The 17,498-nt window shown below is 60.2% G+C and overlaps 1 protein-coding gene across 2 annotated transcripts in view, besides 2 other annotated features; it reads right to left on the bottom strand.

Annotated features, from left to right (window-relative positions):
- Positions 1–2,782: 2,782 nt before the first annotated feature.
- Positions 2,783–17,498, bottom strand: part of GRK1 (G protein-coupled receptor kinase 1) — an 89,538-nt gene continuing 74,822 nt past the window's right edge. For both annotated transcript variants that reach the window (XM_047430493.1, NM_002929.3), the window contains exons 4-7: positions 17,362–17,445; positions 9,176–9,300; positions 7,434–7,635; positions 2,783–5,451 (exon numbers count right to left, since the gene is read on the bottom strand). In XM_047430493.1, the coding sequence (XP_047286449.1) occupies positions 5,156–5,451; positions 7,434–7,635; positions 9,176–9,300; positions 17,362–17,445 (707 nt within the window). In that variant the 3' untranslated portion in view covers positions 2,783–5,155. The remainder of the gene's footprint in view (positions 5,452–7,433; positions 7,636–9,175; positions 9,301–17,361; positions 17,446–17,498) is intronic.
- Positions 16,060–16,665: an enhancer, noted in NCBI's record as "H3K4me1 hESC enhancer chr13:114426827-114427432 (GRCh37/hg19 assembly coordinates)". NCBI's record gives its function as "activates a minimal SCP1, AML or CMV promoter by ChIP-STARR-seq in naive H9 embryonic stem cells {active_cell/tissue: H9 hESC(naive)}" and the evidence as "EXISTENCE:reporter gene assay evidence [ECO:0000049][PMID:30033119]".
- Positions 16,666–17,270: an enhancer, noted in NCBI's record as "NANOG-H3K4me1 hESC enhancer chr13:114426222-114426826 (GRCh37/hg19 assembly coordinates)". NCBI's record gives its function as "activates a minimal SCP1, AML or CMV promoter by ChIP-STARR-seq in primed H9 embryonic stem cells {active_cell/tissue: H9 hESC(primed)}" and the evidence as "EXISTENCE:reporter gene assay evidence [ECO:0000049][PMID:30033119]".

Here is a 17,498-nt window from a genome sequence, read left to right as displayed (position 1 = left end):
TGAATAAAAATTGCAGTTTTTGTTTTTTACAAAAGGAAAGGTCACACGGCATTGTTCCTCAGCCTGCTGGCGGCCTGTGGCTCCCCCGGCTGCAGTGTCACTAAGGCAGTGTGGTGGGCTGGCCCTGAGCTGCAGGTGCACACGCTTGCCCGGGAGGTTGACAGTGGGACGTTTCTTGCCATGTTTTTGGCCCCAGCATGAGCCGATCGCATCAGCCAACTCCGCAGATGAGACAAAGCCACCTTGCAGGGATTCCCATGGGCTTCTGAGGGGGCCGTGGCCTACATTGAGGATAAGAGGATTGAAGCTGAGAGCTTCTCTGCAGAGGGTGCACCTATGCCTGCCTCACTGCAGCCAGATGCCCAGATGCCTGGGCCTCTTGATGTGCAGTCCCATCCTTTGCTGACCCCAAGGGAGATTACAAACCCAGACCGGCCAGACGGCTGCCTGGGCAGCAGAGCGGGGTGTTGCTGGTCCAGGCAGCACCGAGAGAGAGCCCAGGGAGGGCAGCAGGGGGTCGTCCCCGCTGAGGAGAGAGTATTTGCCCAGATTCAGGGGCCTGAAACCCCAAGACTGCCCACAACAGAGGGCCCAGATGAAGAGTCCATAGAGACATCTGCCCGGAGGGCACCGAGCCACGTGCAGCAGCACCAGGCAGGCAAGAATAGCCCTGGATGCCTTCCTTCATCCCAGCTCAGCCCTGAAGAGCCAGAGGCCGAGGCTGGCCACAGGAAGCAGGGCCACTCTGCAGGCAGGTGGGCATGAGACACATGCACCGCCACCGTCAGACACTGCAGCCCCGCGGGAACGGAGGCACCAAAGCTCATCGCATGTGGAGCTGTGACCATTATGGGGCCACGCACACTGAGCCCCTGAGAGGAGGCTGGTGCTGCCTGGGTGGGGAGCAAACAGGCGGGGGCAGGCAGTGTCAGAGCTCCAGAACTGGGCAGGGCCCGCCGGGGTGTCTCCGTAGGATCATTGACTCAGCATTCGTGATGTATTTTCTCCATGGGACACAAAGATTTAGAAGTTTTTAAAAATAAAGTGACAAGAGGCCGGGCACCGTGTCTCACGCCTGTAATCCCAGCACTTTGGGAGGCCGAGGCCGGCAAATCACCAGCTCAGGAGATCGAGACCATACTGGCTAACACGGTGAAACCCCGTCTCTACTGAAAAATACAAAAAATTAGCCAGGCATGGCAGCGGGCGTCTGTAGTCCCAGCTACTTGGGAGGCTATGGCAGGAGAATGGCGTGAACCCGGGAGGCGGAGCTTGCAGTGAGCCGAGATTGCACCACTGCACTCCAGCCTGGACGACAGAGCAAGACTCCTTCTCAAAAAAAAATAAATAAAAAATAAAGTGACAATAGGGCTTTCGAATGCCTTGTATGAATGCATGGGGTGAGCATGAGTTTCATCGAGGGGTGAAAACACCACTCAACTGACCCAAGAGATGGCAGAAGCCAAAAACGAAGCTGCTTTTGTGGTTTTATCCCAACAGGTTGCCTGTGCAGTGGAACCACTGCTGATCTTACAGATAAATATATAATCTGCAACAGGCTTGCCAGAGTTAACCAAAAGAAAACTGCGGAACATCCCATTAAATCTGAATTTCAGAAAAATGATGAATCATTTTTTAGGTCAAGTATGTCCCAAACACTGCATGGGATAGACTTACACTAAAAAATGATTCCTTATTTATCTGAAATTGAAATTCATTGGGATGTCCTGTATCGTGTCTGGCAACCCAGCCCTAAAACAGGCAGAGGGTCTTGCTGGTGGGCCTGGGGGGGCCACGGGGCTCTTTGGCACCGGGAGCCAGGCTTCCCTCCACTGCTGCGACCACTCATAGCCCCTCCAAGCCCCCTGATCCCAGTGAAGCCAGGATGAGATTGCTTACCTGTCCAGGGCCATAGGAATGCAAGGCAGGTTAAAATGGGTTTAAAAAATCAGAAATGGAGTCTTTCATGTTCCAGAGTGTATGAAGTGAGACTGATAGCCATTACCTAATCGATGTGTAACATTCTAGAAAACAAAACAGGAGGCCGAGGCGGGCGGATCATCTGACGTCAGGAGTTCAAGACCAGCCTGGCCAACATGGTGAAACCCCATCTCTTACTAAAAATACAAAAACCCAGCACTTTGGGAGGCTGAGGCGGGTGGATCACGAGGTCAGGAGATCAAGACCATCCTGGCTAACATGGTGAAACCCCATCTCTACTAAAAGTACAAAAAATTAGCCAGGCATGGTGGCAGGCACCTGCAGTCCCAGCTACTCGGGAGGCTGAGGCAGGAGAATTGCTTGAACCTGAGCTTCTCGGGAGGCAGAGGTTACAGTGAGCTGATATTGTGCCACTGCACTCCAGCCTGGGTGACAGAGAGAGATCTGTCTCAAAAAGAAAAGAAAAGAAAAGAAACAGAAAGGGAGGGAGGGAGGGAAAGAAGGAAGGAAGGAAGGAAGGAAAGAAAGAAAGAAAGAAAAGAAGGAAGGAAAGGAAAGGAAAAAAAGAAAAAGAGAAAGAAAGAGAAGGAAAGAAGGAAAGAAGAGAAGAGAAAAGAAAGAAAGAGAAGGAAGGGAGGGAAGGAGGAAGGAAGGAAGGAAGGAGAAAGAGTGGGCACGGAAATCTGTCCTGCAGGCCGCTTCCCACGGGCCTCCTCCTGTGCCTGCCTGCGCCTGCTCAGGTGCACCTGGATGGGTAGTTTTATGTCAAAAAGCACTGGACGCCCCACAGCTCCTCCTGAACATCCCAGGTCTCAGAAGTGTCAGACGCTCAGAGCCAGGACAGGAGGAGGCCGGGAGGTTTATTTTGCAGTCCAGGTTTGCTTCCCAAGAACAGTCTGCAGGTGCATGAGGCAACTTGACAGGACATATGAAAGTCTCCACAAAACCAGACGATGTGGAGTTCTGTTGAGATCTGTGGGAAGACGTGCTCCTCACCCAGGGTGTGGCCGACGTGGGTTCTATGGGAAGACATGCTCCTCACCCAGGGTGTGGCCGACGTGGGATCTATGGGAAGACGTGCTCCTCACCCAGGGTGTGGCCGACGTGGGATCTATGGGAAGACATGCTCCTCACCCAGGGTGTGGCCGATGTGGGATCTATGGGAAGACGTGCTCCTCACCCAGGGTGTGGCCGACGTGGGATCTATGGGAAGACATGCTCCTCACCCAGGGTGTGGCCGATGTGGGATCTATGGGAAGACGTGCTCCTCACCCAGGGTGTGGCTGACGTGGGACCTATGGGAAGACGTGCTCCTCACCCAGGGTGTGGCCGACTTAGGATCTGTGGGAAGACGTGCTCCTCACCCAGGGGCGTGGCCTATCTTCCCTCCAGAAGCTCTAAAACCACATAGGAGGGAGTTGGGTCCCCATTTTGGCTGCAGCCAGCAAATCTCCAAAATTGTGGATTGCCAGGGTCCTCTTCTCCCCAACAGGAAGAGGACGACCTGGCAGCCTGAGGACTGTGAGGGCATAGGCCCTGCCCACTGCAGCACTGACTCTCAGGCAGCTGTCTCTGCCATTTCTGGGAGAGAGGCCGAGACCCACCAGTCCAGGCTACGGAGGATCCATCTCTTCCACTCCCTGCAGGACGTGACACCCCCAAGTGGGACCTTCCCAAGCCACCCTGTCTCCATCAGTCACATCATCAGCCACTTGCCGCGGCCCCTCTCACCAAATTAGAGTAGACAGGGCTTCTTTCTACCACCAGCTCTGCCCCAAGGCTCACGGGGACGTCCTACCATCTTCTCTCCCCGTGACCACATGTGGCAGGGTCAGGCTTCTTCTCCCACTGGTACAACAGTGGCCGGGGCTCAAAGGAAGTTCTTTCCTAAAAGGAGCTCAGAGGCCCTCTCTGGAAAGGAGTCCTCAGGCCGCCCATCACCACTGCTTCCCTGCGGCTTGGATGCACTCCCTCTGAGCCGGCTGCTGAGGCCATGGAACCCAGGCCAGCACCGCCGGCCCTCAAGAGGGAGTGTGTCCTGGAGGCAGTTGCAACAGAACTAACTTCCTGCAGTTAAAACACACAAAGCATTTGGGGAACCTTCAGTGTTCAAAGTGCAGTTGGAAATGCCAGGTGCATTGTGGGTGGGGCCGAGCTGTATGAGAAGGTGGGCTGTGAGTGTCTTCCCGGGCTATGGCTTTAGGACTCCAGTGCTGCTGCTACTGGGAACACAGAGAGGGGTTGCAGCAAGGAGCTCTGTCCCTATGCACAAGGCCCGTGGCCTGAAGTGTCCCCTGGGAGATGAGACGGACCAGCCCCAGTGGGGAGGAGGGTCAGAGAGCAAACGGTCCTGGCTTTGCCCGCCAAGAGCAGCTGAGGTGCTTCCGGGACTCAGGGTCAAGACAGAAAACATTTTCAGCTCCCCAGCTCAGGGGTGGGAACTTTGCACCAGCTGCCGTCAGCTGGACACCCTGAGATAAGGAGACCCCAAGATGCACTGAGACCCCCAGACTCCACACCCGCTCCCCTCCTCCCAACAGCCCAACAGAGCCTGCGCCTGGCAGATGTGGACCATGGCACCCCGGAGTGCAGGGGACCATGGTGCCCCAGTGTGCAGAGGACCACGGCGCCGCAGGGTGCAGGGGACCATGTGGCGTGCAGGCCACCAGCACAGGGCCCGGGCACCCTGGAAGTCAGGAGCCTGCACAGAGGGACCTGGGGGGGGCGAGGTCCAGCCCTCCCCAGTGGGGCCAGGGGCTGCGGCCAGGGTTCACTGACCCCTGACCTGGCCACCGTGCACCTCCCGCTGAGGAGCGTGGCTCTGGGAAGCCAATGGCTAAGGTCTTGGGAGGCCAAAACCGAGTCTCTGCCCCTGACCACACGGTTGGTCAATCACCAATGCAGGAGGCTCCCTAAGAGTTTGTAGATTTTTGGCTTACTCCCTCTGGAGAGCATCTTATGTCTTCTCAGTGAGATGGAGCAAAAGACGTGAAATATGCAGTCGGGGGCTCACGGCACCAGCATGTGCGTCTGGCGGCTCAGGCCGATGTGGGCTTTCTCCTCCTTGGGCCGCAAGGAGATGGCGTGATGGGGACCTGGGTGGAGGGAACCACGTGTCCCCTTGCTAGCAGACCCCAGGCTGGCACCACGGAGGCAGGCGGCCCCCATCGAGCCGTATGGGTCCTTTTCCTCCACGTGGACTCTGGGGCGTCACCTAGGAAACCAGACACATCCCTGACTTGGACGAGGAGCTGGAGCCCCCGGAGATGCCCTTCATGTCGTCCGGCATCTGACCGTCCGAGCGCCACACGTTCAGCTCGCCAAAGATGCCCGTCTCGATCATCTCCTCCTGCCAGGGGATGGGGCAGTTGCCAGTGGCAAATTCCTGAAAGAATTCTGTGTCTGTTTTGTCAAAGGCCACACCTTTGACGGTGGAAAAGGCACCCACGTCCTGAATATCCTTTGCGTAGACAGTTTTGGAGTCTGGGATGAAAGGGGGCATCAGCATCCCTGTGGGAGACAGAAAACACAGACGCCAGGCTCCTCGTGGTGGGAAGGAAGCGCCGTTTAGCCAAAAAGCCCCCTCCCCCATGGCTCCCAGATGCACAAAGGCCTGGGGCCGCTCTTCCTTAGGGAAGTGTCGTGGAGGCTGAGAGAGAAAGCCCAGTGTTCCCAGAAGGCCCCTGGGTTCCCCTGAGACCACACAGCTGGGGCTTGAGTGGGGCCGGAAGAAGCCTGAGATCCCAGGGCTCATTTTGGAGCCTTCTTGTGAAAGGACCTGGCGCTCACATCTGCCTTGTTGGGAGCCTCCCCTAGGGTCTCGTCATGAAGCGGTCTCCTCCCCGAACACGCCTTCCCCTGGGGCCCCATCCCCACCAGGGCCTCCCCTGCGCACTCTGCAGACCCCAGACCCCAGGCACTCAAGCACACGCTCCAGTGAACTTGGCAGCTTCCTTCCAACCAGCGTCCCTCCCTGACGCACCGGCCCCCGATGGCCAGGCACAGCCGGTCACAGACATCACTCTCCTCTCGGTGCACCGACCCTGACCCGGCTGGCCCATGCTGGCCCCCAGACGGCCTCTGTGACGGCCTCAGGACCACCTCCCAGTGCCAGCAGACACTGCACAGCCGCCGTGTGGTTCCTCCTCAGCCTCACTTTGACCTCAACACTTCTGGGCTCAAACCCTTCTGTGGCTCAGACTTCCTTACAGGGCGGGCGGGGTCCCCTCCTCATCCTGTGACCCCTTGGAGCCCCCTTGGGTTCCCTGACCACAGCCATCCTTGCCTCGCTGGGCCTGCCCAGGGCACCTGTCTGGCAGTCACTGCTGTGACCCTAACATACGAAAGCGACTTCTCGTTTGGGGGGTCTTCTGCTCCCTGGTCACCTGTGGCCCTGTCCTAAGTTAGTCACACTGCACGTGGCCTGACCCTTCCACCTGACCACAGGGTCCTAGAGGGTATGGCTGTGTCTCAGATGCAAAAGTGCATGAACACACACACATACACGCACACACATGCACACACACGTATGCACACACACATACGCACACGCACGCACACACATGCACGCACACGCACACACATGTATGCACACACATGCGCACACACGCACACACACGTATGCACACACACGCACACACGTATGCACACATGCACACACGCACACTGTATGCACACATACACACACGCACACACGTATGCACACACGCACACACGTATGCACACATACACATGCACACGCACGTGCACACACACGCACACACGTATGCACACAGATACACATACACACATGCACACACGTATGCACACACATACACACGCACACACATGTATGCACACATACACACGCGCGCACACACACGTGCGCACACACGCACACATGTATGCACACATACATGCACACACGTGCACACACGCACACACACGTATGCACACATACATGAGCACACACGTATGCACACACATACACATGCGCACACATGCACACACACGTATGCACACACATACACATACATGGACACACGTGCGCGCACACGCATGCACACACGCGCACACATGCACACACACGTGCACACACATACACACACGCGCGCACATAGTATCTTCCGCATCCACTTGTCAAGCAAGTGCTGGTGGGTGGATGACTTTCTCCCCGGCAGACGGCCTGAGCCACTGGCCTCCATTTGATCTTGGGCTCCCTCCAGCACCAGGGGACGTGGTGGAAGGTTTGGGTCTCGAGGCCCCAGTGCGGCCAGTGTGTTTCCTGCCTCCCATTGCACCCAGAGCCCTCTGGCCCGATGCCGGCTCCATCGGCTTGTCCTGGGGCTGGGATGATGAGTGGAGGACTGGGGGCCTTGCTGGGGGCAGAGGGAGAGCCTTGGGGGTCTGAGGCACTCCTCCCTGCCGACTCTCACAGGCTGGACCGGGCGGACACCCAAGGGCCACACAGCACAGAACCCCACCCTCTCCGGGGCTGAGGCGTCCAACAGTACCAGCCTCCAGCTGCCTCCAGTTAAGGTCCTTGAAGAGGGGGTGGGCACGGAGCTTGTCGCAGGTCTCATCTCTGAACCCCAGGCGCTTCTCCGGGTCCTTCTCCAGCAGCGCCTCGCAGAAGTCCTTGCTGGCCTGGCTGAACTTATCAGGGTACTTCACGGGCTCTGAGATGATCCGGTGCTTCAGCTCCTTGTTCTCCACCTGTGGGGACACGCGTAGCCTTAGCCCTGCCAGACCCGCCTCTCTTGGGTGGTCAGACCAGACCACAGCTCCTCCCACAAGAGCCACCGCTCACCCACGCGGGTGGGGGACCCATGAGGCCTTGTGCCCCTCCCCAGCACAGCAGCGTTTGAGGCTCCAGTCTCAGGAATGGAATCCTAAAGGCGAAGCTCCCAGGAGCCACAGGTGGGTGCCGTGCATTTTGGGGACTCTGGCTGACCCACCCCCAGCACAGCCGCACCCACCAAGGAAGGAAAGATAGGAAACTGAAGGCCAGCGCGGGCCCAGCTGAGAAGCAGCCTCCGTTTTCACTCCACCACGGTGGACGGAAGCCTCGGTGGCTCTGTTGTCTTCAGGAGTGCTGCCAAGGTCTCACTTCCCCATCAGAGGCCCCACCAGTGGGTACAGTGTGAAGGGTGCTGCTCAGTCCCCAAGGCCCCCGGATCAGGCCATTGACGCTACTCCCACGGGTTGCCCTGGCAGCCCACGCCTGTGCCACGTCCCACAGACACAGAGTGACCACGGGCGTGCTAGTGGTCCTGGGACGACTCTGCTCTGAAACCTGTCCTGGCAGGACAGGTCACATGTCCAGGGAAGTCAGAAGGGAGAGGGGTGGGCATCGCCCAGGTGGCATTGAGGGGGCGATGGGTGGCCAGGGAAGAGCCGCACCTCAAGGCAGCCTGATGCAACTCTGAGACGGTGGCCTTCTGGCTCCGTGCGGCCACCCCCTCCGTCCAACGAGAGGCAGCCCCAGCCCTGAGCTCTGAGTCAGCCTCACAGGGAAAAAGCCAGCTTTTCTCCACTTGTCTTGAATAAGGGACTGGCACCTCCCAATGTTATCCCTATTTGCAGTTCTGGTGGCCTAGGATCCGGGGCAGCCCAGGGGGCACTCAGGGGAGACCCAGCAGCCCCACTAGGTGTCCACACTCCGGGACATTCAGAGCAGCTGCTGGGCCCACCATGGGCTGTGGGTTCTTGGTGTCTGGGAAGAAGGGGAGCTTGCTCTTCTGCAACAGCGATGGATAAGACCGTCCAGGGAGGGGGAGCCGACTCCGTGTCCCCCAGAGCCCCAGCCTCAGCCTCGCCAGTCCCCAGGGGATGAAGCTCCACCCCAAACCACAAAAGGTGGTTTGTCCCACTGCCCAGGGTCTGGGGCAACAGTGGGATAAGTCGCCCTCCCTCCTCCGGTCTGCACCAGAGGGACCGGCCCCCACAGGGCCCTCAGAGGCTGAGTGGTGGCGTGCTGTCTGGTGGGAGGGTCTGCTTGCTCTGGGGCACAGGGTGACTGGGAATCCCTCAGCCCCTCCACCTGCAGGCCTCAGGGGCTGGGGGCGTCACCCACTGAGACAGAACAGCATGGCCCAGGAGCAAGACCCCAGCACGTGAATCTGTGCCCTCCCCACCCCAGGGCCCACAGAACAACTCCCAGGTCTGCCCCAGTAACGATCCCATCACTGCCCCGTCCCCATCGAGAGCCAGGGCGCCAAGGTGGCTGCAGAGACACCTGCCGGCCGCCTCCTACCTTCTCTCCACGGGCTCGGAAGGGTCCTCTGGCCGCAATCATCTCATACAGGGTGACCCCCAGGGCAAAGTAGTCCACGGAGAAGTCGTACTCCTCGCCCTGCAGGAGCTCGGGGGCCATGAAACCTGCCAGCAAGGGACATTGCGGGTTCAGAGGTGGTCACCTCCATGGTGGGCACGCACTCCAGGAATCGCAGGACTGATGCTCTGGGGATGCATCCCCCCCGGGGCCTCAGCACTCTCCACATTTGGGGCCAGAAAATCCTTTGTGGAGGGGCTGCCCTGTGTGTTACTGGGTGCCAAGCAGCACCCCAGACTCTGCCTGTGGGGTGACAGCAGCACCCCCAGGCTGTGACAACCAAAAATGACAACCAAAAATGCCCCATGCCCACTCTAGTGCTGGGCACAGGGCGGGACTTGTTGACTGTAGCTGCACTGAGGCAGCCTTCCTGGACTCTTTTACTGGGGAGAATCCAACATCATTCTCTTTTGAATTTTCCTCTTGAGCTGGTCAGATCATGCCAAGGCGGGTCTTCCACATTCTGGGAACCACGTTGGAGAGGAGGCCTGGGGAGCCTCAACCAACGGTCACTCTCCTTTTCCTCAGCTGTCGGCCTGTTCTCCAGTTGTCCGGTGACCCAGGAGTGCTATGGCTGTGTCCTCTCCAGAGAGGTGGTCCGGTCCCAGTCTTCTGCCAAGAAGGCCCTTAACCACAGGACTGTGGCAGGATGGAGGGACGGCTCTGGGCGCAGCCACGGGGACTCAGGATGGAGGGAGGGCTCTGGGCGCAGCCGCAGAGGCTGTCACGGGATGGGGGGATGGCTCTGGGCTCAGCCCCGGGGACTGTCTCGGGATGGAGGGACGGCTCTGGGTGCAGCCGCGGAGACTGCCTCAGGATGGGATGATGGGTCTGGTCTCAGCTGCAGAGACTGTGTCAGGATAGAGGGGCAGGTCTGGGCTCAGCCGCGGGGACTGTCTCGGGATGGAGGGGCGGGTCTGGGCTCAGCTGCGGGGACTGGGGGACTGTCGGGATGGAGGGACGGGTCTGGGTGCAGCCGCAGGGACTGGGGGACTGTGTCGGGATGGAGGGGCGGGTCTGGGCTCAGCCACGGGGACTGGGGGACTGTGTCGGGATGGAGGGACGGGTCTGGGTGCAGCCGCGGGGACTGGGGGACTGCGTCGGGATGGAGGGACGGGTCTGGGTGCAGCCGCGGGGACTGGGGGACTGCGTCGGGATGGAGGGGCGGGTCTGGGCTCAGCCACGGGGACTGGGGGACTGTGTCGGGATGGAGGGACGGGTCTGGGTGCAGCCACGGGGACTGTGTCAGGATGAAGGGACGGGTCTGGGCTCAGCCGTGGGGACTGTCTCCAGATGGAGGGGCGGGTTTGGGCGCAGCCGCGGGGACTGTCTTGGGATGGAGGGATGGGTCTGGGTGCAGCCGCGGGGACTGTCTCCGGATGGAGGGACGGGTCTGGGCGCATCCATGGGGACTGTCTCGGGATGGAAGGACGGGTCTGGGCTCAGCCGTGGCAACTGTCTCGGGATGGAGGGGTGGGTCTGGGCACAGCCGCAGGGACTGTCTCAGATGGAGGGACGGGTCTGGGCACAGCTGTGGGGACCGTCACAGGACAGAGGGCGGAGGGACAGCTCTGTGTGCAGCTGCTCTCATGCAGTCATTCATCTGCCAAGGTCACCTTTGCACGGACACCAGGCACTGGGCACTGACAGTTCTGTGCAGCTTCAGGGCTCTGGCAGCAGCTTAGCATTCTGCTTCCTTGTGTCAGCTGCCGGCTCCCCTCACCCATCATCAGTCTTCCAGCTGCCATGACGCTGCCGCTCACACCCTCCTTTGAGCACGTGGGTTTGTACTTTTAGCGAGATCCCTTCACTGCCCCTGTCCCGGGACTTCAGGAGGGAAAGCAGATCACATGTGTGTCCAGCCATCAGCTCTGTCCACGAGAGTATCTGAGTGGCTGCTTCCCAACACTTTACTAAATTCAAAACACACTTTCCACTCCACGCTCTGTGTTCTGGCTCCGCCAGCGGATCAGGGAGCGATGGAGCCTGGAGCCTCGCTCGCACATCTGTTGGTGTCTTGCTAACGTCAAGGCAGATCTCTAGGCTCAGTGCTTTCACACTCACAAACACCCCTACTCTAGGTTCGTGCCTGGAAGCCACACCAGGCTCACATATGTCTAGTTTGCTGAAGCTGAGTTCTCTGCCTCGTCCCACAGTCTCAGCTCGAGTCCTCAGCACCCTAAAAGGCGCCTCCCTTCACCGCGGCCTGACTCTGAGGCAGCCAAGCACCTCTCGAGCCCTTCCCAACTGCTCCTCACAGAGAAGATGGAATCCAGTGTGGGCTGCAGCCTCCGGGCACCCCCACGCTGCTCAGGCTGGCATGGGGTCCTCTCCTCTCCTCCCACCTCTGGCTAAGGCTTGCCCACCTGCCGGGCCTTGTCCACCTTTTGTGGTTCCCTGCAGACCCCACCAGCCGGGCTGTGCCCTCCCCGGCCCTTCCGCCCTCTCCAGGGCATCCCTCCTTCTTCATAGGGATGAGGTTCGAGGCCACAGCCACACACTGAGGCTTCCCTCTCCTTGTGAGCAAGCTTCCCCTCCAGGGTGGAAACCGCAGATCCCACCTGTCTCGGCTCAGGCACTTCCGTGGTCCAGCCCTGTGCCTGTTCCACGGAGCCGGGGCGTCTCTGAGTGATGGCCACAGACCCTCCGGGCCCCGCTGCAATGCTGCCATGGTGATGAGCACAGCACTTGCTCCAGCCTGCCCTGAGTGCCAGGCACAGCAGTCCACTATACGCCATGAGCTGGCCATGGGTACTCATCACCATGGGTACTCCTCATCGCCATGGGTACTCCTCATCACCATGGGTACTCCTCGCCATGGGTACTCCTCATCGCCATGGGTACTCCTCATCACCATGGGTACTCCTCATCGCCATGGGTACTCCTCGCCATGGGTACTCCTCATCGCCATGGGTACTCCTCATCACCATGGGTACTCCTTGCCATGGGTATTCCTCATCGCCATGGGTACTCCTCATCGCCATGGGTACTCCTCATCGCCATGGGTACTCCTCATCGCCATGGGTACTCCTCGCCATGGGTACTCCTCATCGCCATGGGTACTCCTCATCGCCATGGGTACTCCTCGCCATGGGTATTCCTCATCGCCATGGGTACTCCTCATCGCCATGGGTACTCCTCATCGCCATGGGTACTCCTCATTGCCATGGGTACTCCTCATTGCCATGGGTCCTCATCGCCATGGGTACTCCTCATCGCCATGGGTACTCCTCATCGCCATGGGTACTCCTCATCGCCATGGGTACTCATCGCCATGGGTACTCCTCATCGCCATGGGTCCTCATCACCATGGGTACTCCTCATCGCCATGGGTACTCCTCATCGCCATGGGTACTCCTCATTGCCATGGGTACTCCTCATCGCAATGGGTACTCATCGCCATGGGTACTCCTCATCGCCATGGGTACTCCTCATCGCCATGGGTACTCCTCATCGCCATGGGTCCTCATCGCCATGGGTACTCCTCATCGCCATGGGTACTCCTCATCGCCATGGGTCCTCATCGCCATGGGTACTCCTCATCGCCATGGGTACTCCTCATCGCCATGGGTCCTCATCGCCATGGGTACTCCTCATCGCCATGGGTCCTCATCGCCATGGGTACTCCTCATCGCCATGGGTCCTCATCGCCATGGGTACTCCTCATTGCCATGGGTACTCCTCATTGCCATGGGTCCTCATCGCCATGGGTACTCCTCATTGCCATGGGTACTCATGATGGGGATGTGCAGCAACTTGTCCAAGGCCACAGCCCACACCCCACAGTCCACAGCCCACAGTCCACAGGCTGCTGTCCACAGCCCACGGTCCACAGGCCACAGCCTACAGGCCACAGATCACAGACCACAGGCCACACCTCAAAGCCCACAGTCCACACCCTACAGCCCACAGTCCACAACCCACAACCCAGTCCATAGACCGTGGGCTGCCTCCCTGAGTGCTCCGCCCTCTTGTCTCCAGTGGCGGCAGCCATGAGCTCTGGGCCCTCCCTCCAGATGGCTGCATGCTGACCAAGCAGGGTCCTTGGCAGACGTCTGCTCTGGTGAGTCAGACTCCAGGAGAAGTTCAGACACCTGCCTGGCCCCCGAGCCAGCTCTGTGTGGCACATGGGGCCTGTGTGAGTTATGTCAACTTGCCAGCTGCTACCCAAGTGAGGCCAACCCGGCACACAGTGGCGGACAGGCCCGTTGGGAGACCCATGACGGATGTCCTGGGACCAGGCAGAGAGGCCGCAGGCTGGGGCATGGGGGCTGCTGGGGCTGGTCAGTTTTGACACTTCTGAGTCAAGGTCCTTCCTGGTCCTTCACCGTGCCTGAGGGCCAGGCTGATGTGGCCACAGAATCCTTTTTCCCCAAAAGAGTTGCAGGAACCCTGCCTCACAGAACCACAGGCCCTGAATATGCCCTACTGGTCCAGGATTACACGGACGTCAGAATTCTGCCCAGACTCCGGGGAGGAACTGCTCACACGATCACAGCCTCTAGACCCACCCAGAGCCTTCTCAGCTCCCAGGCCGGGCACGAGCAAGGCCCACCAGACCGCAGGCTCCTGTCAGTTCCTGGGCCAAGGAGCCCCCAGCCCTCCTGGCCTGACCCCCATGATGCAGCCCGGACGGCGCACCTGTTTGTGCCCCAGGCCTCCTGAGGGACCTGCAGCCACGCAGCGGCCAGTAAATATTGACAGAAAGCGTGAGGGAGACAGCTCTACCTGCTCTGTTCACAAATTCTCCCGCCCCTGAACTCAAACTAGGACCGCGCATGACCGGCCCCGCCCTGTGCACGCCCCTGGATCCCGCCCCTGACCTCAAACTAGGGCCGCGCATGACCGGCCCCGCCCTGTGCACGCCCCTGGATCCCGCCCCTGACCTCAAACTAGGGCCGCGCATGACCGGCCCCGCCCTGTGCACGCCCCTGGATCCCGCCCCTGACCTCAAACTAGGGCCGCGCATGACCGGCCCCGCCCTGTGCACGCCCCTGGATCCCGCCCCTGACCTCAAACTAGGGCCGCGCATGACCGGCCCCGCCCTGTGCACGCCCCTGGATCCCGCCCCTGACCTCAAACTACGACCGCGCATGACCGGCCCCGCCCTGTGCACGCCCCTGGATCCCGCCCCTGACCTCAAACTACGACCGCGCATGACCGGCCCCGCCCTGTGCACGCCCCTGGATCCCGCCCCTGACCTCAAACTAGGACCGCGCATAACCGGCCCCGCCCTGTGCACGCCCCTGGATCCCGCCCCTGACCTCAAACTAGGACCGCGCATAACCGGCCCCGCCCTGTGCACGCCCCTGGATCCCGCCCCTGACCTCAAACTAGGACCGCGCATGACCGGCCCCGCCCTGTGCACGCCCCTGGGTCCCGCCCCTGACCTCAAACTAGGACCGCGCATGACCGGCCCCGCCCTGTGCACGCCCCTGGATCCCGCCCCTGACCTCAAACTAGGGCCGCGCATGACCGGCCCCGCCCTGTGCACGCCCCTGGATCCCGCCCCTGAACTCAAACTAGGACCGCGCATGACCGGCCCCGCCCTGTGCACGCCCCTGGATCCCGCCCCTGACCTCAAACTAGGGCCGCGCATGACCGGCCCCGCCCTGTGCACGCCCCTGGATCCCGCCCCTGAACTCAAACTAGGACCGCGCATGACCGGCCCCGCCCTGTGCACGCCCCTGGATCCCGCCCCTGAACTCAAACTAGGGCCGCGCATGAGCGGCCCCGCCCTGTGCACGCCCCTGGATCCCGCCCCTGAACTCAAACTAGGACCGCGCATGACCGGCCCCGCCCTGTGCACGCCCCTGGATCCCGCCCCTGACCTCAAACTAGGGCCGCGCATGACCGGCCCCGCCCTGTGCACGCCCCTGGATCCCGCCCCTGAACTCAAACTAGGACCGCGCATGACCGGCCCCGCCCTGTGCACGCCCCTGGATCCCGCCCCTGACCTCAAACTAGGACCGCGCATGACCGGCCCCGCCCTGTGCACGCCCCTGGGTCCGCACCGCACTGGCAAGGGGGAGTCCCCCGACAGGCTTCTTATGGCTGTGGTGTCTCTCGCTGCGTGGGGGGCGCGTGGGAGGGCGCGAGGGTGCCAGGAAGAAGGATGCGGACCCTGCGGCTTTGCTGAACTGACACCGGCCTCCCAGCCTGCACCCTGACGGCAGCATCTCCAGGTCACTGTGCAGGGGTCACAGCCTGAGCCCAGCCCTGCTGTGAGCACCTGGGGCTCCGAGGAACGGGCGCCGGCGAAGGCTTGGGGCCCCCTGGCGGCCAGTCGGGCCCTCACCCTCGGCCTGGAAGCTGGGCCCTTTCCATCCGTGAGGTTAACTCTTCCAGTCCTGGCCTCGGAGTCCACCTGGATCTCCCCGAAATGCGTGAGGGGGCTTCCACCCACGCGCTCACACCCAGGCTTGGCAAGGGTCCCAAAGACTCGAGGGCCGCAGCGCCAACCGTTTCTACCCACCCAGAAAGAGGCTTGGATCATCTCACGAAAAGCAGGTGCCACCCGAGGCTTCCTTGAGCCATGGGATCCCCCAGGATGAGCTGCCTTCCAGAAAGTTTTGAGACCTTCGACCACTGGCCCTGAGCACTCAGTGGCTACGGAATCCCACATCCAGATGGCAACCCAGCCATGAGGGGTGTGGGCACAGAACTGCCCTTCGTCAGAACTTTGGGGAAACAGTCCTTAGCCCCCACCCCGAGATGCACCTTCCCCTAAGTCCAGCTGGAGCGAGGATGTCCCCCCCGTGGCCACGGCACAAATACGCCCAGTGCCTAAACACCAGCATGGGAGGACCCAAAACACCACCGCACACAAACCCCATCAGGCGACAGCACTGCCTCCCCACAGCCAAAACAACCACGGGGAAGCGACATTCTCTGGAAATCCCAGCAGAAGTGAGCCCGACACGCGGACCCTCAAGACTGCGGAGGAGAGAGGAAGAACTCAAATTCACGGTGTGGCTGCTGTACACAGGCGCCGGGCACGTGGCGTGTGAGGTCTCCTCAGCAAGCCTGTGCACCGAGTGCTAGCAGGAGGCTCGGAGGTTAAGTAAAGCACACAGGCCACACGCCAGCAGGTGCTGGGCCCAGAACACGGACCCCGCTCTGCTTGACTGTGGGGGTCTCCTCTCCTCCACAGGTGCTGCGAGCCTCCCTGCCTGGGGGGAGGTGAGAGGAGATGAGTGACACGGGATGGGGGAGGCAGTAGGATGCACCGTGCATGTGCACTCACATACAGGCACACGGACACACGTGTGCACAGAGACCCGGGCATGCATACACAGGAACACATGCACACAGACACAGGCACACGGATACACATGTGTGCACAAAGATGCAGGCATGCACATACAGGTACACGGACACGTGTGTGCACAGACACGGGCATGCACACACAGGCACACAGACACGTGTGCACAGAGACACAGGCATGGGCACACAGGCACACATGCAGGCACACAGACACACGTGTGTGCACAGAGACACAGGCATGCACACAGGCACACTGTAAAAGGAAAATATCTTGAGACCCAAAATCACTAAAGGAAAGAGTCAAGCTGGGAACTGCTTATGGCAAACCTGCCTCCCATTGTATTCAAAGTCCTCTCAGTGAGCCCTCTGTTCACTGAGATAAATGCTTATCTGATTGCCTCCTCTGGAGAGACTCATCAGAAACTCAAAAGAATGTAACCATTTGTCTCTCATCTTCCTATGACCTGGAAGCCCCCTCCCGCCTTTCCAGACCGAACCAGTGTTCATCTTACATATGCTGATTGATGTCTCATGGCTCCCTAAAATGTGTAAAACCAAACTGTGCGGCGACCACCTGTCATCAGGACCTCCTGAGGCTGCCACGGACTCGCGTCCTCAACCTCAGCAAAATAAACTTTCTAAATTAACTGGTACCTGCCTCAGATATCAGGGTTCACAACACTCACATGCACACAAATGCACAACCACACAGACGCCCATGTGCACACAGACACACCTATATACACAAACTCACATGTATGTGCAAGTGCACACAGGCACACACATGTACACAGGGACGTAACCCATGCACGGAGCCTCCCCAGCTGCGCTCAGACCCTTACCTGGGGTCCCTGCGTAGCCCTTGGTCTTGCTCTGTCCGTCCAGCAGCTCCACGGCCAGCCCAAGGTCAGAGATCCGGACATTGCCTGAGAGGCAGATAGCGGAGTCACCCCTGGCTGCACAGGACAGGCGCCGGGAG

Source organism: Homo sapiens, chromosome 13 (assembly GCF_000001405.40).
Source record: "Homo sapiens chromosome 13, GRCh38.p14 Primary Assembly".
Lineage (NCBI taxonomy): Eukaryota > Metazoa > Chordata > Mammalia > Primates > Hominidae > Homo > Homo sapiens.
Note: the sequence above shows the minus strand (reverse complement) of the source record. Positions and strands in the feature narration are given on the sequence as shown.